This window comes from Homo sapiens, chromosome 9 (genome assembly GCF_000001405.40).
Source record: "Homo sapiens chromosome 9, GRCh38.p14 Primary Assembly".
Classification (NCBI taxonomy): domain Eukaryota; kingdom Metazoa; phylum Chordata; class Mammalia; order Primates; family Hominidae; genus Homo; species Homo sapiens.
This window is the reverse complement of record NC_000009.12, coordinates 30,927,819-30,953,559: the sequence shown is the minus strand read 5'-3', so window position 1 is coordinate 30,953,559 and position 25,741 is coordinate 30,927,819. Positions and strand designations below refer to the sequence as shown.

General features: G+C 34.9%; 1 pseudogene, besides 2 other annotated features; it reads right to left on the bottom strand.

The window, feature by feature from the left end:
- Positions 8,735 to 9,029: a silencer, noted in NCBI's record as "tiled region #1939; K562 Repressive non-DNase unmatched - State 24:Quies". NCBI's record gives its function as "represses a minimal TATA promoter and a strong SV40 promoter by Sharpr-MPRA in K562 cells {active_cell/tissue: K562}" and the evidence as "EXISTENCE:reporter gene assay evidence [ECO:0000049][PMID:27701403]".
- Positions 9,652 to 10,192: an enhancer, noted in NCBI's record as "H3K4me1 hESC enhancer chr9:30943366-30943906 (GRCh37/hg19 assembly coordinates)". NCBI's record gives its function as "activates a minimal SCP1, AML or CMV promoter by ChIP-STARR-seq in naive H9 embryonic stem cells {active_cell/tissue: H9 hESC(naive)}" and the evidence as "EXISTENCE:reporter gene assay evidence [ECO:0000049][PMID:30033119]".
- Positions 17,555 to 18,973, bottom strand: FTLP4 (ferritin light chain pseudogene 4; annotated as a pseudogene).

The following is a 25,741-nucleotide window of genomic DNA, read 5'->3' as shown; positions in this document are numbered from 1 at the left end:
TCCTGGGAGTGAGTTGGATTTAGCATTAGGACCTAAGTGTCATAGGGAAGTGAATTAACAAAAAAAGACTATGGCTGTTTCCAGAATCCATCCTGAACTGATCTCTGTGGGTGTATGCGTGTGTGCACGCACATGTATGTGCAGATGTGTGTGAATTAAGAGCAGTTACGTGATAGGGCATTTCTGGTATCTCAACTGTTAGTGATTATGGCTGTACATTTTCCTCAGGACTTAATGGTATGTATTTTGAGTTATCAGTTCACTTATTTTGGTCATTTGAAAAGAGCTGGAGTTCTTTAAATATGTGAAAGTCGGTATGTCCAAAAAAATATAGAGGGTTTGGTAATCAACCAGGAAAGAAGAGGCATGGAGCCATTTGAATGAAATTGAGGTTTTAATAAAGAGGTAATTTCAGATTTGTTTCTGGAGTTATGAAACAAATTTAAACCAGATATACGCTTGAAATATTTGAAACTATCATCAAAAATTCCATGACAAGAAAAAAATTGGGCTAAGCATTATAGATGTCATATTTCTATTTGTTCTGATCTCGAGCAACGTAGAAAATCCATTGGGCATTTTTTCTTATATAAGTTCACTGACACCACTTTCATACAAGCAGTGACAACTGGACAATTCATTATTTTCTCATCTGTGTCTGGAAGTAATTCCTTTTTCTATGAGAGATTATAATTCACAGAAAGGCATATCTATCATATCCTGTCTCAGACTGTGTTGTCAAGGTATCAGTTTTCATTTCAGCCAGACTTGAATTTAAATCTGTGTACTTCAACAACATTAAAGGTGTTACTTCATCTTTCCAGTATACCTGATTCTTTATCTGTTAAATGGGATGAAAATATCTAGGATGAAAGATGTGATGAGAATTGAAAAATGAGCTTAGGAAAGAGTGGTACAATAAGTGGAGTCTGTGGCTGTTTAGTCATTTGTCTCCCTCTTCATGTAGACATTATTCCCACAGGATATGATGTGGCATGTTGTAGTGATACTCTGAGTCTTAATGAAACAAAGTTGTCTTGGCTACACAATAGTCTCACATTATAGATTTCCTGCTATACCATTTAGAAAATAATGAACCTGGCTCCACTCAACTACCATTGAGCTGGCCAGAACTGCCACATCATCTTGGGGGCTGGGGGGCATATAATTATCTCAATGTTTGGGGGCATATAATCTAAATTAAATAGACCTAAAACCATAAAAACCCTAGAAGAAAACCTAGGCATTACCATTCAGGACTTAGGCATGGGCAAGGACTTCATGTCTAAAACACCAAAAGCAATGGCAACAAAAGCCAAAATTGACAAATGGGATCTAATTAAACTAAAGAGCTTCTGCACAGAAAAAGAAACTACCATCAGAGTGAACAGGCAACCTACAGAATGGGAGAAAATTTTCGCAACCTACTCATCTGACAAAGGGCTAATATCCAGAATCTACAATGAACTCCAACAAATTTACAAGAAAAAAACAAACAACCCCATCAAAACGTGGGCGAAGGACATCAACAGACACTTCTCAAAAGAAGACATTTATGCAGCCAAAAAACACATGAAAAAATGCTCACCATCACTGGCCATCAGAGAAATGCAAATCGAAACCACAATGAGATACCATCTCACACCAGTTAGAATGGCGATCATTAAAATGTCAGGAAACAACAGGTGCTGGAGAGGAGAAATAGGAACACTTTTATACTGTTGGTGGGACTGTAAACTAGTTCAACCATTGTGGAAGTCAGTGTGGCGATTCCTCAGGGATCTAGAACTAGAAATACCATTTGACCCAGCCATCCCATTACTGGGTATATACCCAAAGGACTATAAATCATGCTGCTATAAAGACACATGCACACGTATGTTTATTGCGGCACTATTCACAATAGCAAAGACTTGGAACCAACCCAAATGTCCAACAATGATAGACTGGATTAAGAAAATGTGGCACATATACACCATGGAATAGTATGCAGCCATAAAAAATGATGAGTTCATGTCCTTTGTAGGGACATGGATGAAATTGGAAATCATCATTCTCAGTACACTATTGCAAGGATAAAAAACCAAACACCGCATGTTCTCACTCATAGGTGGGAATTGAACAGTGAGAACACATGGACACAGGAAGGGGAACATCATACTCTGGGGACTGTTGTGGGGTGGGGGGAGCCGGGAGGGATAGCATTAGGAGATATACCTAATGCTAAATGACGAGTTAATGGGTGCAGCACACCAGCATGGCACATGTATTCATATGTAACTAACCTGCACATTGTGCACATGTACCCTAAAACTTAAAGTATAATAATAATAAAATTAAAAAATAAATAAATAAATAAACAAAATTTTATAAAGGAAGAAAAAAAAGAAAAGCTGTATAATTTGTATGAGTTACAATTTATAATTTGTATTATAATTTGAGGTTAAAAATATGGTCAGTAAACATTTACCAGAATATGAAACAAGGCAACAACTCATGACTTACTTCAAAATGTCATTTTAATAGCAGTAATTTTTATTAAGGATCATAACTATGAAGAAAATTATTTTAGAAGGGATGGAATAATAATCTTCTTGGGTGTTCTTTTTTTAGTAATTAAAATTTCCATTTTCTTTGCTTACTGTAGTTGATTTCTTATATGGAGAAACTTCAGTGATAGATGCTTTCTTGCACATGATATTGATCATTGTATACTCAACTAACACTTATTAAATGCTAGCTGAATGCATTGAAAATCTACCATATATTGGTTGATGATACAGAAAGATAAGCCACAGTAGTTTCTCTAGAAGGACCCTTTAATTCAATAGGCAAATTAGATGTTAAAGTGATATTGTACATGGAAGTAGCCAAATTTGCCCTGAGGATAAACAGAGGAATTACAAATTTTAAGATAGCAAAATATATAATGGATTATGGCATATGAACAAAGTTGGAATAAGATTTAGCTACATATATTAAAAAATAAATGACAGAGGCTTAAATGAGATAGAAGCTTATTTCTGTTATATCTAAAACAATGTCAATCAGAGGCTGCTGTGGTAGCCTTCAATGTGATCAGAAGCTAAAGTTTCTTTCTTTCTGTTTCTTGCTTATATATAATGCTTGGCTTCAATTCTCAGGGTTATTTCATAAAAGGTGTCAGCAAACCAAGGCTTACAGACCAAATCCAGGGTCCAAAAATTTTGTATATGAAGTTGGTCTGGAGCACTGACACAGCATTCATCTATGTGTTGTGTATGGCTACTTTGCATAGTTGTGGCAGAATGTAGGCCTAGAAAGGCCAAGCATATTTGCTATCTGGACCTTTTCAAAAAAAAGAAAAAAGAAGTTCTAACTAATGATCTAAGACAGTGTTATCTAATAGAAATATAATATGAACATACATAATTTTAAATTTTCTAGAAGCCACATTTAAAAAGTAATATTTGAAATACAAAATTGATTAAATTAATAAAGTTTATTTAACACTTTATGCAAACATTTATGATTTCAACATGTAATTATTTACAAAATAATGAGATTATTTTATTATTTCCCCCTTAAGTCTTTGAGATATGGAATATATTTCAATTTGGACTTTCCACATTTCAAGTACTCAATGGCCACAAGTGGTAAGTAGCTACCACCTTGAACAGAAGAAAACTAGCATGTCTGAATAAATTCCACCCATATATTTTGCTTTCTAGATAGTAAGAAGAAGAAAGGGAAGAAGTTTTGAGAAAACCTACAGGAAGCAGTTTCACATAACACTTTTCATTAGACCACAACTAGATTGATATTCATTTTGTAAGGCATAGATTGATGTTTATTTTGTAAGGCATAGTGTCTGCTAGAGCATAGAAAAGCCATTTTTAAATTGTCAAATTTTGTGTAGGTAATAGAATGAAAAATGAAGAATTCTAGAGTAAATTTAATGCATGTGTGTTAATATATTATTATTGAGGTAGACAATACATGGACATATTACTAAGAGAAGGTATCATAATTATTTAAAATTCAATGAAATTTGACTTCAAATAAAAACAGGTGCTACTTCTACTTCTGAACAAGGTAAAGTAATAGGGACTGGCTTATCTTTCCAAGTGAAATAACTAAATGACCAGACAACATATGTGAAAAAATTTTAAAAAGGCTTTAAGGCATTAGAATTTAGGCAGTGAAGGACAGTGATCCACAAAAATGGGAGACAAAGTGAGAATTTAAGTGTTCAAGCTTACTGCCTGGATAGAGTTCCAAACCATTGAAAGAGAAAGCTGTCTCTCTGAGTTGATGAGACAAAACTGTGAGTTCCAGAGGCTAACGCAGCTAGAGTTCAGAGAATAGAGTAGAAAAAAGGAGAGAGCTGCATAAAGGCAGAGCTTTGGAGATTTGCACAGCATTGCCTACTGGCCCCCTTTATCCTCACTGCCCTCACCAAAAAGTTTTCAGTTGAATATGGCATGAATGTATGTTTGAAGAAACTAATCAAGACTAGGCAAAGAAACAACAAAAAGGAGAATAGGGAGTCATCCTAGAAATTACACTTGGCTGAGAATGGCTTATCTTCCTGTCAGGGCCATTAGGTAGAGTATTTACAAATGTAGTGCCTTAAGAGTGGGCAGAAATTAGGTCTACACTAGACACTTCCTTGGTCTTGCATAACAGAACAAAACTTCGAAGAATCATACTGTCTCAAAGTAACGTAACAATGTTTTAGAGAAGAACACATAAATATTTATTATAATAAAAATTAGGCAGCAATGAACAAAATAAATATCACAGTGTTTAATATCCAATCAAAATAGGCATCTAAAGAAGTGGATAACTATGTTTCATAAGGAAGAGGAAAATAAATGCATCAGAACTAATCCAGAAAACTCATAGTTGAAAAAATTTGTAGACAGGACAATAAGAATTATTGTGACTAAGCAGTAAACACCCAGAAAACACAGAAAAAAAATAAGCATGTTAAATGGAGATATAGATATTTAAAAAAACAGACAAAACTATTTTTAGAAATGAAAATGTAATGTCTGAGATGAAAAATACTCTAAATGCAATTAAACACATATTAGACACTGTAGGGAAAATAATTGGTAACCATAAAGATACAAAATAGAAAATATGCAAAATAAAACATGGAAAAAAACAAAAATCATACAAATTAAAACAATAACCAGAATGTCAGTAAATTGTGGGACAAATTTAAGTGGCCAAATATACAGGTAATTGGATTCCCTGGATTCCAGGAAGAAGAGGACCTGGGAGGAGGGATAGAAAAAATACATTAAAGAAATAATGGCCAAAATTTTTCTAAATTTGATGAGAATTCTGAACCTATAGAACCAAGAAAACTGACAAACTCAGTCACAAGGAAGATAAAAGAAAATTACAGCAAGATATATCATAATCAGATTGCTTAAAACATGATAAAAATCCAAATATTAAATCAGCCCAAGGAAAAAAGTATATTACAAATAGGGCACCAACATTAAGCATGACAGTAGATTTCTTGCCTAAAACAATGTAAGACAGAAGACAGTATAGAAATATACTTAAAATACTAGAAAAACATATCCCCGCCAGGAAAAAAAAATGAAAAGAACTTGCCATTTTAGTTTTCTAAAGCTGCTGTAAGAAACTACTACAAACATGGCAACTGAAAATAACACAAATTTTTCTCTCAGTATTCTGGGATTCAGAAGTCCAAACTCAAAGAATTATCAGTACTGGCTCCTTCTGAAACTCTGAAACAAAATTATTTTATATCTCTCCAATTTAGGTAGCTTCCAGTGACACTTGACATGCCTCGCCTTGGATTTTCATAAGTCAATCTCTGTCTTCACATGGCCTTCTGCCTTCACATGACTTTCTTCTCTGTTTCTTCTATTTTTCTGCTGCTTACAAGACACTGGCCATTGGATTTAATTTCCATCCTAACCCAGGATGATCTCTACTTCAGTTCCTTACCTCAACTACCTCTGCAAAGATTCTTATTCCAAATAAATTCACATTCTGAAGTTGTGGGTGGAAATATATTTCGGGAGTCACTATTGAACTTACTATATCTGCCAACCTAGAATTCTATACCCAATAAATAGATCTTTCAAAAAATGAAGGTAAAACAATGACGTTCAGATACATGCAACTGGAAAAATTTCATCACCAGCAGACCAAGATTACAAGTATTCAAGGAAATAGTTCAGCCAAAAGAAAAATCATAATTAGAAATCTTGGTTTATACCAAGAAATGAAAATTTCTCAATATAAGAACTATGTGGGCAAACACTGAAGATATTTTTCTCATTATTTAAATCTCTTGAAAAGACAAGTCATTCTTTTAATGCAAAACTAGAACGAATGCATTACTTCTATATATAGAAGAAAATTGCAGGACAACTATAGTATAAAGACTAGCATGGGAGAAATGGAAGTATACCATCATAATATTCTTGTACCATACAAAATTTGATGTGATATCTTTTGAATTTATACTTGATACCAGTCCTAAAGAAACAAAAAAAACAAAGATTAATAACTATTAAGACAACAGAAAATATACAAGTAAACCATAAAAAAATCTGAAAGAAGGAGAAAAAGGGAGAGAGGAACAAACAAATGGAACAATTAGAAAATGAACAGCAATATTATATGAGAACATATTCATATCAGTATTCACACTAAAAGAACACAATTCAAAGATACCAATAAAAAGGCAGAGCTTATCCAATTGATTACCAAATAAAACCAAATTATGTTCTCCCAATAACAAAACAACTGGAAATATTAAAACACAAATAGGTTAAAAGTAAAAGGATGAAGAAATGTACTATGCTAATATTAATTAAATAAGTTTTAAGTGATAATATTAATATCAGAAAAAGAGATTTTATAGCAAAAAATATTTCCAGGTATAAAGACAGTGATGAATAGTAATGGAAGTGTTAATTCATAATAAGGACAGAATAATACTAAACTTTCGATATTTAATGAGTCTTTTCTCATTGATATTTATAAAACGCTACCTAATGACAGAATACAGATAGTTTTCAAGTGTATAATAGAAAATGTAATGAAAATTTTTCTGGGCCATAAGGCAAATGTGAATAAATTTGTGTGAAATTAAATTATAGAAAAAATGTTCTTTAGAACAGGGGAATAGTTATAAATGAATTTAGAACAAGGAAATAGTTATAAATGAATGAATTGGAAAAATCTGCAAATATTTAGAAACTAAATAGTATTCTTTTAGACCCCAAAAGACAATCAAAATTGTTATTAGAAAGTATATATAACTGAAGAAAAATAAAAATGCAACCTCTCTAAATTTGTGGAATACTGGTAAAGCATTACTTTGAAGGAGATGTATAGCATTGAATGTTTTTATTATAAAAGAGAATGGCCTCAAATTTGTGACCTTCCAATTTAACATTTGAGTTGTTTGTTTTTAAAAAAGAGTCAATGAAACTTTATGTAAGCAACAGAAAGTAGATAATAAAGGTTCATATAAAATCAATAAAATAAAAAACAGAAAAATATAGTGTTAATCATAGAAACAATAAGTCTTATCTTTCAAGAAAAAAAAAATTGATAATTCTATATAGCCAGAGTAGGAAAATTAAGATAGAGGAAACACAATTCTAATATGAGGAATGAAAGAGGTAACTTTAGTGGAGATCCTACTGATATCAAATGGATAAAAATGGAATATTATCAACAAATTCATGTCAATACATTTCATAATTATATAAAATGGACAATTTTTTAAAAAATGACAAATGCAAAGCCTATTCAAGAGGAAACAGAATAGCTAATTATGTATATATGTATAATATATAATAAGCATATATACTCATTAAATTTATAAGTTATTTATATTTACTTATATAAGTATTATATTTAATATAAGTATATATAATATATAAGCATATAAAATATACTTATAAATATGAATATAAGTATTATATTTGTATAAATTATAAGTATACAAGTGTATAATACTTATAAATATATACTTGTATAATACTTATAAAATAAATTAGATTATGGTTGAAAAAACAGGCCCAGGTAGGTAACTGATGACTTCTATGACATTTTAAAGAAGAATTCATATCAGTTCTAGAAAACTATTCCAGAATATTGAAAAGAAATACTTCCCATTTTTTAGAAAGTCAGTATTAATCTAATATCAACAATATATAAACTTTTTCACAAATTATATATCTGTATACATATATATATATATGATCCATACTCTACATGACAAGCAAAAATTCAGTTAATATAGCACATAGGCCTAAATACAAATTCTACATCTGAAAAGCTTCTAGAAGATGTCACAGGGTGTCACTTTTCCATCCGGAAAACTTTGCAGCTGGTGGTGCCTTTGCCGGAATTTTGCTTCAGCCCCCTACCAGACTGGATTCCATGGCTGTCAAGGGTGGGCTAGAGGCGGAGCAGCCAGGGGTGTGTGAGCAAGCACTGGGTCCGGCCACTGCACACTGCCAGCCTGTGGCAGGGTGGGTAGCTCTAGGTGCCCATACAGGCTCCGGCTCCATGAGAGGCTATGGCTGGAACAGGCATACCACAAGCAGCTTCTACTGCAGACACTAGGGACCGCAGTGTCACGTGGAAGCTTGGAGACACCAGGAACCACAGAGCCCCAAAGAGAGTGTCACAGCCCTGGCTCGGGGATCCCCTAAGTCTGGGATCCCCGAAGGGCTCTAGCTCTTCTTTCCTTCTCCTTGCCTACAACTTGATGAACGAGGGGCGTGTTTCAGCCCTGTTTGTGTTGCAGCTCTTTCAGTCCCGCCATTTGGCAGGTCCCAAGTTCTTGTCCCACGTCGCGGGGGAATAAGGTATGAGGACAACTGGATGGTGAGCAAAGCAGAGAGGAGTTTCATTGAGTGACAGAATGGCTCTCAGGAGACACGAAGTTGGTAGCTCCTTTCTGCAGGCAGTTCATCCCAACAAGTGTCCAGTTCTTAGTGGAGAAGAGACCCATGATGAAAAGTGGAAAAGAGCCTGGGGCTCCTTTCCCCAGGCAGGTTGCCCCAGTGAGTGTCCAGCTCTCAGTGGAGAGGAGACTCGTGGTGCGTAGCTCCTTCTGCAGGCAGGTTGTCCCAGTGAGTGTCCAGCTATCAGTGGAGTGGAGACCTGTCGTGGGTAGCTCCTTTCTGCAGGCGAGTTGTCCTGAAAAGTAGAAAAGACCCAAAGTGGGTAGCTCCTGCCCGCAGCTGGTAGTCCCAACGTCTGTCTGAGTCTGGCTTAGTCTGGGGTTTATAAGAGCTCAGAAGAGAGAAAGTGCCATCCTGACTGGTCCATGGGCAGACAAAGATCGGCCTGGAAAAAGCACCATAGGTTCTCACTCTGGGATGCGGACTCCCCAGGGAACTGGCAGCCTGGTCCCCAGGCTTCAGGCCTTCTCGGACTTGAAGGTGGGATTTCCCTGAGGACCCGCCCTTTTCTGCCCAGGAGCCCATCTGCCTCCTGCTGCCAAAAACATGTCATCCGTGGCCCCAGGCTGTTCATGCTGATGGGCACGTGCAGGCCTGTGTCAAGCTGCCCTCAGCCCGCCCACCCTACACTCCCTTCCTGACCTCGTCTGTGCCCAAAGTTTCAGAGCAGCCTGAGGTTGCTGGGGGCTGGCACGTCAGCTTCACCCTGAGAGTGTGCACACCCAACCGAGTTGTGACAGCGCCCAGGCTTGGCTTCAGCTTTGCTCTGAAATCGGAGTGGGTGCCGAGAATGGGAGAGGCCAGAAAGCGGAAGCAGGTACTTCTGAGCTAGCAGGGGCAGGGGCAGTTTCCTAGGCCTCTGAGAGTGCAGGGATGCCAGGGTCCAGAGCCACGGCTGGGCAGCTACAGCTGCATCTGGGAATGCAGGGCTCCTGCCGCACCAACTCAGAAAGGGGCGGGGCTCCTGCCTGTTCCCAGCTCCCATCTGCTTTATGGAGTGCACAGCCCCAGCCGCACCCCCACCGCTGCAGCCAAGGTCTTCACAGGGGCTGCTCCAGATGGGCCACTGCTACCATCGATAATATAGAAGAATATCTTTGTGATATTTGTAAGGCAATGAATGATTTTTTTATTCGCTATCATAAGCATGTTTCATCAAAACCTGAAAAATGGATTTAGCAAAATTACTATTTTTGTTTCAATTTCCAACATTTATTTTAAGTACAGGGGTACATGTGGAGGATGTGCAGGTTTGTTACATAGGTAAACGTTTGCTGCACAGATTATCTCATCACCAAGGTATTAATCCCAGCATCCGCAATCTGTCCTTGATCCTCTCCCTCTTCCCACACTCTGCCCTCTGACAGGCCCCAGTGTGTATTGCTCCCACCGTGTGTCCATGTGTTCTCAATATTTAGCTCCCACTTATAAGTGAGAACATGCTGTATTTTGTTTTCTGTTTCTGGGTTAGTTTGCTAAGGATAATGGCTTCCACCTACATCCATGTTCCTGCAAAGGACAATATTTTGTTCCTTTTATATGGTTGCATAGTATTCCATGATGTATATGTACCACATTTTCTTTATCCAGTGTATCTTTGGTGGGCATTTAGGTTGATGCCATGTCTTTGCTATTGTGAATAGTGCTGCAGTGACCATACGCATACATGTGTCTTTATAATAGAATAATTTGTATTCTTTGGATATATACCCAGTAATGGGATTGCTGGGTCAAGTGATATTTCTGCCTCTAGTTCTTTAAGAAATTGCCACACTGTCTTTCACTATGGTTGAACTAATTTTCATTCTCACCCACAGTGTAAAAGTGTGCCTTTTTCTCCACAACCTTACCAGCATCTCCTGTTTTTTGACTTTCTAAACGTTCTGACTGGTGTGAGATGGCAGCTTATTGTGGTTTTGATTTGCATTTCTCTAATGATCAGTGATATTGAGCTTTTTCTCATGTTTTATGGCCACATATATGTCTTCTTTTGAGAATTGTCCGTTCATGTCCTTTGCTTACTTTTAAATGGAGTCGTTAGTTTTCTCTTATAAATTTAGGTTCCTTATAGATGCTGGATATTAGACCTTTGTCAGATGGATATACCACAACAATTTTTCCCATTCTGTAAGCTGTCTGTTTACTTTGTTGATGCTTTCCTTTGCTGTGCAGAAGCTCTTCAGTTTAATTAGATCTAATTTGTAAATTTTTGCTTTTGTTGCAATTGCTTTTGGCATCTTTGTCATGAATCTTTGCCTGTGCCTATGTCCTGAATGGTATTGCCTAGGTTTTCTTCTAGGGTTTTTATAGTTTGGGGTTTTACATTTAAGTATTTAATCCATCTTGAGTTGATTTTTGTATATGGTATAAGGAAGGGGTTCCAGTTTCAGTTTTCTGCATATGTCTAGACAGTTCTCCCAGCACAATTTATTAAATAGGGAATCCTTTCCCCATAGCTTGTTTTTGTCGGGTTTGTTGAAGATTAGATGGTTGTAGGTGTGTGGCCCTGTTTCTGGTTCTCTTTTCTGTTCCATTGGTCTATATGTCTGTTTTTGTACCAGTACCATGCTGTGTTGGTTACTGTAGCCTGATGGTATAGTTTGAAGCTGGGTAGTGTGATGCCTCCAGCTTTGTTCTTTTTGCTTAGGATTGCCTTGGCTATTCAGGCTCATTTTTGGTTCCATATGAATGTTAAAGTAGTTTGTTTTTAATTCTGTGAATAATGTCAATGATAGTTTAATGGGAATAGCATTGAATCTATAAATTGCTTTGGACAATATAGCCATTTTCACAATATTGATTCTTCTTATCCATGAGCATGGTATTTTTTGTTTGTGTCATCTCAGATTTCTTTGAGCAGTGATTTGTATATATATATAATTTATTAAAATATGTTTTTGAGTATATGATGAAGCAATTGTGATAGTCTCACTTAGCTATTAAAATTTTTGAATGCTTTATTCTCTTATCCTCTCCATAAGAGAATATGAAGAAGATAGAAATGTTATACAGTCATTACTACACAATGACATTTCACTCAACAAAGGATCGCATATAAGATGTTGGTCCCATAAGATTAAAATGGAGATGAAAAATTTGTATCCCTTAGTGAAGCCATCGCTGTCAAACTTTATAACTTCATAATATAACACATTATTCACATGTTTGTGGTGAGACTGGTGTAAAAAACCCACTGCACTGACAGTCGAATACAGTATAGTACACACAATTATGTACAGTTTATGATACTTACAATGATAATAAATGACTGTTATTGCTTTAAATATTTACTATACTTTACTTTTCATTGTTACTTTACAGTGTAATCCTTCTATTTATTAAAAAAGTTATCTGTAAAACAGCCTCAGGTGCCTTCAAGAGGTATTCCAGAAGAAGATATTGTTATCATAGGAGATGAAGTTCCATGTGTATTATTGCCCTTTAAGACTTTCCAGTGACAAGATGTAAAGATGGAAGATAGTGATATTGATGATCCTAAGCCTGTGTAGGCCTAGGCTAATGTGTGTGTTTATGTCTTGGTTTTTAACAAAAAAAGTTTTAAAAATAAAAAAAAAACAGAACAAAGCTTATAGAATAATAATATGAAGAAAAAAATTGTGTAACTGTCCAATATGTTTGTATTTTATGCTGAGAGGTACTACAAGAGTCAAAAAGTTAAAAAAAATAAAATTTATAAAGTAAAAAATTTACATTGTTAATTATTGAAGAAAGAAAAATTATTTTTATAAATTTGGTGTAGCCTAAGTGTACAGTGTTTATAAAATCTACAGTGGTATACAATAATTTCCTAATGATTCATATTCACTCACCACTCATTGACTCACCCAAAGCAACTTCTAGTCCTGCAAGCTCCACTAATGATAAGTGTTCTATGCAAGCATACTCTTTGTAATCTTTTACACCACATTTTTACTGTACCTTTTCTATATTTAGACACAAAAATATTTACCACTCTGCCTATAATATTCAATACCGTAACATGCTGTACAGGTTTATAGCCTAGGAGCAATAGGCTATACCACATAGCGTAGCTGCGTACTAGGCTATACCATTTAAGTTTGTGGAAGTACTCTATAATGTTCCCACAATGTTGAAATCGCCTAATAATATATCTTTCCGAATATTTCCCCAGTCATTAAGTAGCTCATGACCATACAATTGTGGCCAATCCAACATAAATGTCAGTCTGTTGAAAGCTTCCTGAAGGTGTTTTCCTTTTCCAGATATAAGAACAAGATGTAGTTTTTTCCAGGTTCTTATTGCTGTGGATGGATATATATGTGTGTGTGTGTGTGTGTGTATATATATATATATGTATATATATACACACACACACATATACACATATATACATATATACATACATATATGCATATTATATATACACACATATATACATATATATACACACACACACATATGATACTTGGTGATGAGACGCTATCTTGCAATAGTGAAGGAAAGGAACAATAATCACTGATATGCCAATCCTAACATTTTTGGACAACTAAATGAACTTATATGCACACTTATGTCTATATCTCTTTATATAAACGTATGTATTTAAGCCATCAAAATTAAATCGTTCTATTTTATGCAATCAAATACATTCTTCGTAATAAATATAGTGTGGGTCAAAATTTTTGTTCGGTGTAAGAGTTATAGAAGGGAAAGATGTTGGCCTTGATTCTAAACACTTCAATGTTTGATGAGAATGACGAAGAAAGTAATGCTTAGAGATTTGCTCTTGTTAGATAAAGACAGTACTAAGGAATCATTCAGAAGACCATTATACAGCAAGGGCAGGACAAGGAAGGCTTCCTGGAGATGTAGACTTGGGGGAAAAAAGTGTTATTTAGCCGGAAAAAGAGATGAAAGAACATTCTGTCCTCAAAGAATATTTGTCTATCTAAAACGGCTTGCTTCTATACTCAAAATATCTCTTTAGTTGATCTGCTTCTCTTTCCTCCCGATCCCTCAACCCTAGTTCACCTGATCTACCTGAGTAATCTCCATGCAGGTTTTATTTTCTATGTGTACTTCCGCTTCCCCAAATCCATTTCTAATTAGCAGCTAAAGTGATGTTTTTAAAAGAGATCATGCCACTCCCCTACTCTAAATTTTGCAATAGCTTCTCATTTCACTTAAAGTAAAAACCTGTAAGTTATTTTATATAACAAGTGTCCAGGAAGTATGAAGACAAGATGAAAAAAATGATACAAGTTGGTCAGCCAAATAATAATGCCTTAGAATTAAATCTGGATTATCTGAAGTGAAAAATATTTCAGCTACAATACAATACACCATCAAAACCACTCCATTAATGTTTTTGAAGAGCTAACATATTGCGTGCAAGACTTATCTATTTTTATTCCCTTTTGAAATATCTCCCCCAAAAAATGGAAGGTTAAAAAAAGAGAGAAAATATTGCTGCACCAATTGACCTGAATGGCATTAAGCTCTCAGTGTGTGAAAATGAATCAGACATAGTTTATTATAAAGTCAGTGAAATAAATTCATGCAGGTTAGGAAAATACATGGCTTGTATGCCGACATTGCAGAAAGGATTTATATGAAGGAAAAGTCAAAAACTCCCCACTGTAATACACACCACGATCTATTGTGGGAACAAGACACCTCTCTGTAAGCAACTGGGAACATGGAGAACACAATCTTTTATCCATGACTTTATGTAGATGCTTTGTTTTTGCAAAATCTTTTTCCCTTTTGCCTCTAGAAAGGTACTGAGATTTTCGAACAGTGCAAAATGAGCAAAACAGTACTTGATGGAGGAAAGTGTATATTTAAGTGTGTCAAATAGGCTGGTTTCGAACAGGGATGTCTGTCATAATGTTTTATTGGCTCAAGCTGCATTCCAGCATCTGGAATAACGAATCAAGTAAGAAAGTTGTGGTCTCCCTTGTGTTCTGACTGACAGAACTGTGACAAAAGGACATGGGAGGTAGAAAAAAGGGATTAAACAAATATGAGAAAATTATAAGACCTTGAAGCTATTAGCTACAGATGTTAGTATGGAAGTTCACATGTTATCAGAGAGTTACAAAGCTTCTTCAATTCCATGTTACCAAGAATGCTCTGCAGTTGTAATGTATGTTGATGTGTCTTCCTTTATCTCACTGTAGAAACCATGGTGTTTTTCCATGTTTACAATGCCACATCCTGGGATTTTCTTGCTGGATGGAACCCAGTTCTTGCCCTTAGAAAGCTCTTGTTCCAGGGTAGGAAAGGAGACGCTTGAACAAAGAAAGACAACATGTAATCGGTATTCAGTCACTCAGGTTATAATGCATTGGATTGAAGAAAGGATTAATAATTGCTTTTCCTTTGGGAATTAAATGAGTCTCCATGGAGGCCGTGCTGTGTAAGACAAACAAAAGTTTGAAATAATTTCATTTTCATGTGTAGCAAATGCTATGGTAATAAAAATCTTAATACTATTGATATGTATTATTTTGGTGTTTTATATTTTCCCCAATAAATAACACTTAATTTAGAAATAGGTTTATTAGTTGAATTACTTAATTTTCCAAAGCCTAATTGCCATATGGTTCAATGGTAACAGCCATACCTCTTAATCCAGATACCTCATTTTGCACTAAATTTTAATTTGCAATTAATGTATAATTTCTACATTACATACACATCATCAAATAACTCTCATTTTTTAATAAAAATAACTATGAAAATAGCATGTAATATATTATTTCTCCTTCACAGCTTAGTTTAAATATTTGTATTTATTTGTATAGCAATGTAAGAATATCTGATTTTTATATTTACAATCTCTGTTCTAACATAGCTTGTCCAATTGTGTATATTTTATTATTGGTTAATTTTTCCTTCCCTCTGCTAAAAACACATAAATTAGTTATTTGCGTGTGATATACTTGTATGAATAAATCAGGAGAGAAAGAAACTAAATATATACTTTGTAAAAATGAAATCATTGCAGCAAGTCCTGTATTACTTATGATTCTAGTCAGATGTATTCAGTAACAGCACTGCCTGATACCTTTTTCTATTTACACAGAGTAAGGGCTGTGACTACTGATGTATAACTCCTAAGGAAAGAAGGCAGAATTGATGTCAATGGCAATTCAGAATGCCCAAATTTTGATTCAGGCTCCTGACATTAGGCAGCCAGGCCGATCAGTCCCTGACATTGCTAGTGAGATTACAAAAATAGCCAAATGTTGTTAAATTCATAAGGCATAAATTTAATGAAACCACAGTCCTGCAATCACCAGTGAGCACTTTGTTCTCACAGGACACAGAAATTAAGCAATCATTCCGACCCAACTTTTCAATTAAGGAGATGAGCGGAAGTCTGTTGTGTGGTGCAATTCAAGATGAATAAAGAGAGGATGTGTTAAAGTGAAATCAATCGACTAAAAGTCATGGCCACTTGTGTGAAATTCAGTCTCTTAACTGTAAATTTGATTGGTATGATGCTGCGGGATAGAGTTATAAATGGGGACTTCAGAGTCATTACAGAAATAAGAGATCTGAGAAAAGCTTCTTCATTGAAGACGCAGGAATTACAAGTATTATTTTTAGACTAGGTTAAATTGAGAAAAAAATACACACAATCTGAAATATAGTAGAGGGCTAAATAAAAGGCAGTTTTCTCTCTTTCCTTTTTTTGCTCAAGATCCATTCTTTTTAATTAGGAACAAATTATTCTTAAGGAGTCCAGAACAGTTCACTAACATTTGTCTGTTAAATTAAGTAACTACGCAATTATAGGTACAAAATTCACTATAAGTAATTAGGGGAGAACAATGTGATAGAATTCCAATCATCCAAAGTAATTTTGCAGAGAGGATAACCAAAATGAAGCCTATTGTTTGTGAAGTAAAATGTAAACATAGTCACATTTTAAAGTCTCTAAACAGGTTAACAAGATGAGAAGCAAATAGGGTCCAGATAGCAATTATAGTCGATGTAAAAGTGTGCATTCCCATAAGTAGTAAAATGAAAAAATAGTCTTTGGCAAGAAAAAAAAGCATCTACTAGGATCAGATGAAATTGGAGAAATTATTAATAGCTGAGGGAATGTTCATAAAGGAATATCACCAAGCCTAATAAGTCACAGGGGGAAACACCCTCCCAAAAATCATCTAAACATTTAACGATAACTGACTAGAAAATCAAGATTTTCAATGGCAATGAGGCAAAAGGTTTTATTCAATATAAGTCAAAAAACATTTATTAAATATTTATCAAATGGCAAATACTACACTAAGCACTGAGCATGAAATAATCATAAGACATTTATAATCCCTGCCCTGTAGAAGCTAATATTTCAGTGAGGAAGAAAGGCAAGTAGGCAGATATTTCCAATCTCAACTCATTTTAGGAGTTTGCCAAGTAAAATCCCAGACCTATAAGCCCCATAAAGCTATAGTCTTTTTTTTTTTTTTTCTGCTAAATGCTTTATTTCCATTTGCTTCAAAGCTTGGGAAAGGGCTCCAAGGTGCTTAAAAAGGTGCCTAGTTGCTGGAGGCAGTCTTAAGCAGAAGCCCTGATACTCTAAGAGAGGACCTTGAGACCTAGGACCTACCTAGGTTCAGTAGGCTCCTAGTCATGCTAAAGGTGAGCCTTTGCAAGAGATGCCTTCCCAGCCAGGCCTGGGGCCTGACTAGCCTGTGGAGGTTGGCCACTCATCTTCTTGATGAGTTTCACTTCCTCAGCTAGAAAGTGCCTCTCCAGGGAGTCACAGAGATGAAAATCTGTGTGGCCAAACCCAGTGCATGAAGATCCAAAAGGTCCTGGTTCATGTCCTTCTCCAGGGCTATGGCACCTTCCAAGACATGCATGGTTTTACCCCACTCATTTTGAGATTGCTTCTGAACATCCTGAAAGAGAGCATGGCCCCCAAGCTGGTTTTGCACCTTCAAGAGTTGTTCTGAACCCTCACACCTCTCCTTGGTCAATTCACAGATAAAGTGGCCCATGCCTTCCAGAGGCACATTGTTATGGTTGAAAAGAAGTTCTGAGAAAGGTACGTGCTGGAGGGCTGCAGATGCAAATTGATCAGGTGGTTGATGGCTGCTTCCACCTTGGTGGAATATTTTCTTTTATTTCAATTTATGTTTTAGACAAGGATTACATGTGCACGTTCCTTTCACGAGTATGTTGCACCCAAGTACTGAGCATAGTATCCAATAGGTGGTTTTTCAACTCACACCCTCTGCCCTCTCTATGCCCCCTAGTAGTGTGCAGTCTCTGTTGTTCCCATGATTATGTGCATGTGTGCTCAATGTTTAGCTCCCACTTATAAGTGAAAACATGCTATATTTGGTTTTCTGTTCCTTCATTAATTTGCTTAGGATAATGGCCTCCAGCTGCATCCATGTTGCTGCAAAGGACATGACTTGATTCTTTTTATGGCTGTGTAGTATCTCATGATATATACATATCACATTTTCTATACCCAATCTATCGTTGATGGGGCCCTGGGTTGATTCTATGTCTTTGATATTGTGAATAGCACAGAGATGTACATACAAGGACATGTGTCTTTTTCCTTTGGGTACATATCTATTTTCCTTTGGGTACAAATCCAGTAATGGGATTTCCGGGTTAAATCGTAGTTCTGTTTTAAGTTCTTTGAGAAATCGCCAATATGCTTTCCATAGCAGCTGAACTAATTTACACTCCCTGGGTTGAATAATTCTCATGAATCTGGGAGCTCATTGTCTCATGGTTGGTCATCAAGAAGGCCGCAAAGCAGTGTTGGCTGGTCTCAGAAGCAGGAGATGGCTGAGAAGATAGTCTTGGAGTTTGCAAGTGGAGAGGAGATTGGAGGTTGGTCAAAGGCTGGAAGAGAGGGAGTCCCCAGGTATGCTCTGTCAAAATACTGTTAAAGCAAGAAACACATCTGTGGAACCTCTCAGAATGCTGCTGAAGCTAGAGATTTGTGATGTTTTAGTTTCGTTTTGTTCTGTTTTATCATATATGGTATACATACAATCATATAGTGTATTATTGGTACATAGTGGGTTTTAAATATTTATTGAATAATTGTGTAATGAAATGAAAAGGGAAATATTATTCTGATTAAAGGAAAATGATTTTGCTTTTTTATGGAAATATTATCCAAACTGTACGCCATCTATCCTGTTGGTAAAAAAGCTGTGTACACAACCTCACCGTAAGTGTATGTATTTTATGTCCATGTACTACTGTGCTAATCTATTAAGAACATTAGACAATTTAAGCAAAATAAAGATAAAAATACATAAAAATATAAATTCTAATGTTTTTCTTCTTATAGTCTGATAAATTTTTGTACCTATCTCCTGGGGTGCATGAAATTAGTTTGTTTTAGGGATCAAATATAGCAGTAAAAATATTATCTTACTTCATATGGCACAATGGAAATTTAAGGTGACATTTTTTTCTGTAATCCTAAAAGTGAGGGGTGGAGAAATACATGTTGTGAAATTGGTAAAAACAAGTTAATGGTCTGGTACATTTCAGTTGGGCAAAACAGGTCAGGAAATGCACATGTGAAAAGACAGTTATAATGGTATTTGTTGGATCTTCAGGTGAGTTAATTCCCAATTTTTAGATAAAGGAATACCCTTCTTAAAGATAGTGTTTGTAGAAAAAAAATGTTTCCTGGTCAAATACATTAAGTTGTCTAACCTTTGAACATATTTATACAATTTTGCCTTTTACTGTAGATTTCTCAGAGCCCAATTAACTAATACGCACTAAAGACAATATAGGAAAAAAGAATGAAATGCATTTCTAAATTAGTGAAACATTATTAACAAACATAAATTATGCTTAATTAGATTTCTACTTTTACTGGAGTTTTCTTGTAAGAAAATCTGGTTACATTATTTCATGATTCTCTCCAAGATGATTTGGTTGACAATGTAGTAAACATACTCATATAGTAAACGATATGTATCATTAGCATCTCTGAGATAAAGGCCAGGAAACCCTGCCCTTGAAAGTCAACAAAAAGAAAACTCCAATTAATGCTACCTGATGGCTTGAAGACCCAGTTTGAAAAGCTCTCCTTACTATTTTATGGGTGTCATTAGACCCTACCGACCTCTGTCAACTATTATGGAGACCCTATTTGCCTTTAATTATGTGTAGTAGTGTTCCTAATACTTTCAGGAATGGTTTTCGGCCATGCCTGAAAGTGGGCTGGCTGGAGTTATAGGAAACCTCAAAAACAGGTCCTGGATTCTTCCAAAGCACAGAATAATCAAAATAGGGAAAACAAATAGAAAAGGGCTGTAGCACATTCCTAGTGCTTCCTGCATGGAGGAATCTAAGGTCAATTTCCCAGGTCTCTCATCCCTTCCAGCCACCTACTTTCAAACCTGGCTATTCATAAAGACATTAGGATACCAGTGCGTATTAGTAAATGTGATATTGGATATCTATGACAATAGAATAGGTGAAATTTTCCAGATGGATCCAAAGGCAGTAACGATGTTCATCCACAGGATCTAGTTTCATCTCTGGCAATTGTTTCATTTTTATTTTCATTATCTCAAGCCATACATGGGAGTCACAGCACGATCAAGATTTCACCACTTTTATCATGAATAATCTTAGAAGAAAGACTCACTACAATAATTTCATAAAAGTCCTATTTGGAGGCATATCATCATAGATTAGATTATATGTCATCTTTGAGCAACCACTGTGACCAGGGAGATACAATGCTCTGATTAGTAAGATAATATTTTCAATGTTGAATGTTGAATGTGTGAAAGAAGTTAAATATACCCACACCAAATGTGCTATGATTCAGGGAGAGATGTTTCCTATTGAAATATCACAGTTTGTTATCTTAAAGCAGAATAGATGATGGGTAATAAAAATTAACAGATGTCCTTCACAGAGGGAAATCCTGTGACATTTCTTTCTTTGAGAAACTATCATCAGAATGATCCAACTTTCATTATAATATCGCTCTTAATGGGGATCAAAACTTTAATGTAGATTGACATGTGTCAGGGTTCATCTTCCTTCCTTCCTTCTTTCCTTCCATCCTTCCTGCCTTTTTTTTTTTTTTTTTTTTTTTTTGGAGTCTTGCTCTGTCACCCAGGCTGGAGGGCAGTGACGCTATCCTGACTCACTGCAGCCAGTGCCTTCCAGGCTCAAGTCATCCTCCCACATCAGCCTCCTAGGAAACTGAGATTGCAGGTGCATGCCACAATGCTTAGCAAATTTTTTAATGTTTTGTAGAGATGAGATCTCACTGTATTGCTTAGGATGGTCTCAACTCCTGGACTCAAAGGATTCTTTTACCTCCCACAAAGTACTGGGATTACCAGTGTGAGCCACTGTGCCTGGCCCATATTTTCTTATGGAAGAGATTTTGCTTAATTTTCCATACAGATTTGTCATAGATCCACCAACTATCGAAAATACATTGTTTGTTTTTCAAATGCAATAACAATTTCATTTTATAGGGTTTTTCATCATATAAATATTAATATTTTATATACTTAAGAAATGGAATTGAGACTATCCCATTAGGGGCAAAACTTTATGAACATCTAATGTGTTTCTTTTCTATCCATGTCAGTTTTCCTCAAATGCTGTCCCTTTGAACTGAGCATTAGCAAATCATTCGTTCTTTGTGACATTATATGCTTCTGAAATTCAGAGATCACAGCAGCTAAAGAAGGGAAGACTTTTAAAATGACCACTAAGTCAAGCTTATGAACTTCTGCCACAGCAGGAACTCAAAAAAATTTCATAGCAATGATCTTTATAGTCAGGAAATGTTTATACTATTAAAGTTATAATACCATGTTGAAATATAAAATCATTTTCAATTGTTGATGAATTTTAAAACATATTTAATTGAAAAATATTTGTATTTCTATTATGGTATTTTAACATGTTATTTTAATTTAATTTATTTTAATAATGCAATATGAATTACCTAGGAGTCATTACTTTATAGCAGAAATGGAAAATATTATCTAATGAAATTGCATTCAATTAGATAAGTTTTATATATAATTGCACATATAAAAGAATAGATGAACTTGAATATTTACAAATGTAGAGCACATGTGTAAGAGTGCCAGAGGGAAACTAGTAACTAGACAATGTTTTTCAATGAGTTTGTTCAATCTAAATTATTATTTTGAATTCTCTTTTTAAGTTACTGATACTCTGTATAATTACTTTTTCTTTTATTTTCTTCCAGGAATAAAGACAATATGTTCAATATTATTTAATCTTGTATATGATAATCTATGTTAAATCAAACCTTAGAATTCTATTTCATTAAGATATCACTACAAAATTTTTTTAACCTCTAAAATGTTATATTAAATTTTTATTTAACATATTTAATTATATAACATAACTTAACATAATTCTCTCTTATTAAAGTACTGGTCAAACAGCATGTTTTAAGTAATTGTTGTGAAAACTCTCACATTCCATATCGTTGACTTTTGTTTTACATTAAACAGGTTATTTCAAAAAGCATAACTGACGTTTGCACAAATTTTTCTCTTTTCATAATTAACCCTCCTTGGTGTATGATCACAAAAATGACCTCTATATGAACTCATTAAATTCTATTTGTCTGAATTTTATCCTTTCTGAAACTAGCATTACGTAAATTTAATAAATATGACTACATAAATTGTATTATAAAAAATAAATTGTAAGAACACTCTTTAAATTTACTTGAAACCCATTTACCAATGTTTTACAAAGAATCCTAAAAAGCCCTTTAAAAAAAAAAGTCTAGTTTTCAGTATGCAACTTCATGTAAACATACAAAAGAAAATCTTAGTTTGCTAGGACCACCATAACAAAATCCCACAAATGTTATGGCCTAAAACAACAGAAATGTATTGTCTTACAATTCTGGAGTCTTAAAGGCCACAATCAAGGTATCAGCACGACCAGGCTCTCTGTGAGACTCCAGATAGAATTCTTCCTGGCCTTTTCCTAGCTCTGGTGGTGGCTATCAATGATTGGCATTACTTGGCTTGCAGCTGCATCAGTCCAATGTCCGCTCCATCATTACATGGCCATCTTCACATCATCTTCCCTTTGTGCATGTCTGCTTTGTGTTCAAATTTACCTCTTTCATGAGGACACCAGTCATATAATATTAAGTCCCACCTTAATCACATCATTTTAACTACATTTCCTCTGTGCTAAAATCTAAATGTTTGTGTCCTCCTCACATTCATGTATTAAATCCTAATCTTGAATGTGATGGTATTAGGAGGTGGGGCCCTGGGAATATGATTAGATCATGAGGTACCACCCTCATTATTGGGGTTAATACCTTTATAGAAGAGACCCCAGAGAACTAGCTAGCCCCCTCCCCTAAGTGGGGACACAGCTAGAAGTTCTATCTTTGAGGAAACTGGTTTTCACTAGATGCCACTGGTGCCTTGATCTTGGGCTTCCCAGCCTGCATAACTGTGAAAAATAAATCGTTGCTGTTTATTAGCTACTCAGTTTTTGGTATTTTATTATAGCTGCCCACATAGTGTAAGACACTATGTGAAGATCCTATTTCCAAATAAAGTCACATTTTAGGGTACTGGGCTTAGGACTTCAACGTATTTATTTATTTATTTATTTATTTATTTTTGAGTGACACAATTAAATTGATAACAGGAACCCACAGAAGGGCATGCAATGATGTCAACAAAAAAGGATATGCTAAGAACCTGACAACAATACTAGGGCCTGAGATCAATGAAGCCTCATTCCAAATATTAAAAATAAGGTAAGAAAGAAAGAAGAAAAAACTAGAGTAGGAAAGAAGAACAAAACTCTCAGCATAAACAAAAGGAAGAAATACCTTATAAATCTCAATTATACATAATGAAATACTTGATATCATGATAGAATTAATATTCAGTATCCATGATGACTCCTAGCTATCAATAATGAAATCAGTAATAAAATGATTATTTTAAAATAACAATTTTTTTTTTTTTGAGATGGCTTCTCACTGTTGCCCAGGCTGGAGTGCAATGGCATTTTCTCAGCTCACTGAAACCTTCGCCTCCCAGGTTCAAACAATTTTCCTGCCTCAGCCTCCTGAGTAGCTGTGATTACAGGCATGCACCACCACACCAGGCTAATTTTTGTATCTTTAGTGGAGACGGGGTTTCATCATGTTGGCAAGGCTGTTCTTGAACTCCTGACCTCAAGTGATCCACCCACCATGGCCTCCCAAAGTGCTGGGATTACAGGTGTGAGCCACCGCACCTGGCCCAATTATTAATATTTTATTTTTAATATATTATAGATTACAGGCTATTAAAGAGATAGTAAATTTTATATACAATTTTACATACTTGGAAAAATACTAAAAACCTTTTATATGTAAATGGTCTTTATGTCATTTACTCTATCAGGAAAATAGGTTATTGAAAAGCATATTATTTCCCTGTAGTGCTAAATGAATTTAATGTAGCATTATTATGATCCCATTTCAATTTTGAAATTTGTTTTCTTGAAACAATATGAAATATTTCTTCTCATCTAACTTTAAAGAAAGCAAAAGTTAACACACAATGATGAGAATAAAGTGAAAATATAAAAATGTATAAAGAAGCAAATAATTAGAATGCATGCAAGTCTTTGGAAAGTTTCTCAGAGTAACATTGTAAATGATAGCCCTGAGCAAAATATCATACACTGTTCTGAAGTGTCTTAAACAGATGCATTCTTATGAAATATGAAACAATTATTTTTAAAAAACAGCTAATTTTTCTATTCAGTTATCAAGATTATGAAAAGGTAAAAAATCATTTTAATGACTACATGCAAGCATTTTTTTTTGCAATCCTCATTGTGGTCAGAAATGCCATTTTACACCTAGTTCTAGTAGTTCTGACTACTTTATCACATCTGAGATTTCTCTAAGTAAACTGAATATAGAAAGGAAGCATTCTAATATTTATTCAAATATGATAATCCATCACGCTAGTTTAAAGTCTTTTAATAGCTCCTTGTATTCCCAATTTTGACATTGCTAGTCGTTGGTTCTTTAACTCAGTTTCCCCCCTTTTTCCTTAGCCTAGTTTCTGAATTAAACATCTAGCCATAGGGAATGATTTGAAGTCTCAGAAAGTACCTATTTTAACTTGATAACTTTGCAAAATCTATTTACCGTGACTTAAACAGCATTACCCAATCTTTCCCTAATTTTCACAGAAATGATTTTTGTTCACTTTTTATATTTCTTATTGGATATAATCTAATTCAGCATTCTCAGTAAATGACCCAAGATTGCATCAGCTTCTGCTTATCCACGTTTTCAGAGTAGTCTATAACATACCATTTATCACACACTATTGAAACTAACCACAATCTTGTGTTCTTCCTTATACAGTACCATCTAATAGAGAACAAGCCTGTGTCTTACGTACTATTTTATTTCCAGAATCTAAACACAGTGTGACCTATGGCATGGGCTCAATAAATAAATGTGTGCATACGTTTTTATTTCTAATATTATTTTTTCTGTTTCTAACACATATGTGAATATGAATGGTTTTAAACAATAATTCTTCCAAAAATTTTTAACTTAATTAAATTGCAAACATAATTTATTTCATCTGTAGTCAAAATTATACAAAAAGTGTTTCAATTTATAATACACTTTATTTTCATCTATTAAATGTATTATTATATACACAAAATATTCATTTTCTTGATAAATATATGAAAAACATTTAAAAAATATGAACCACCAATTGGTT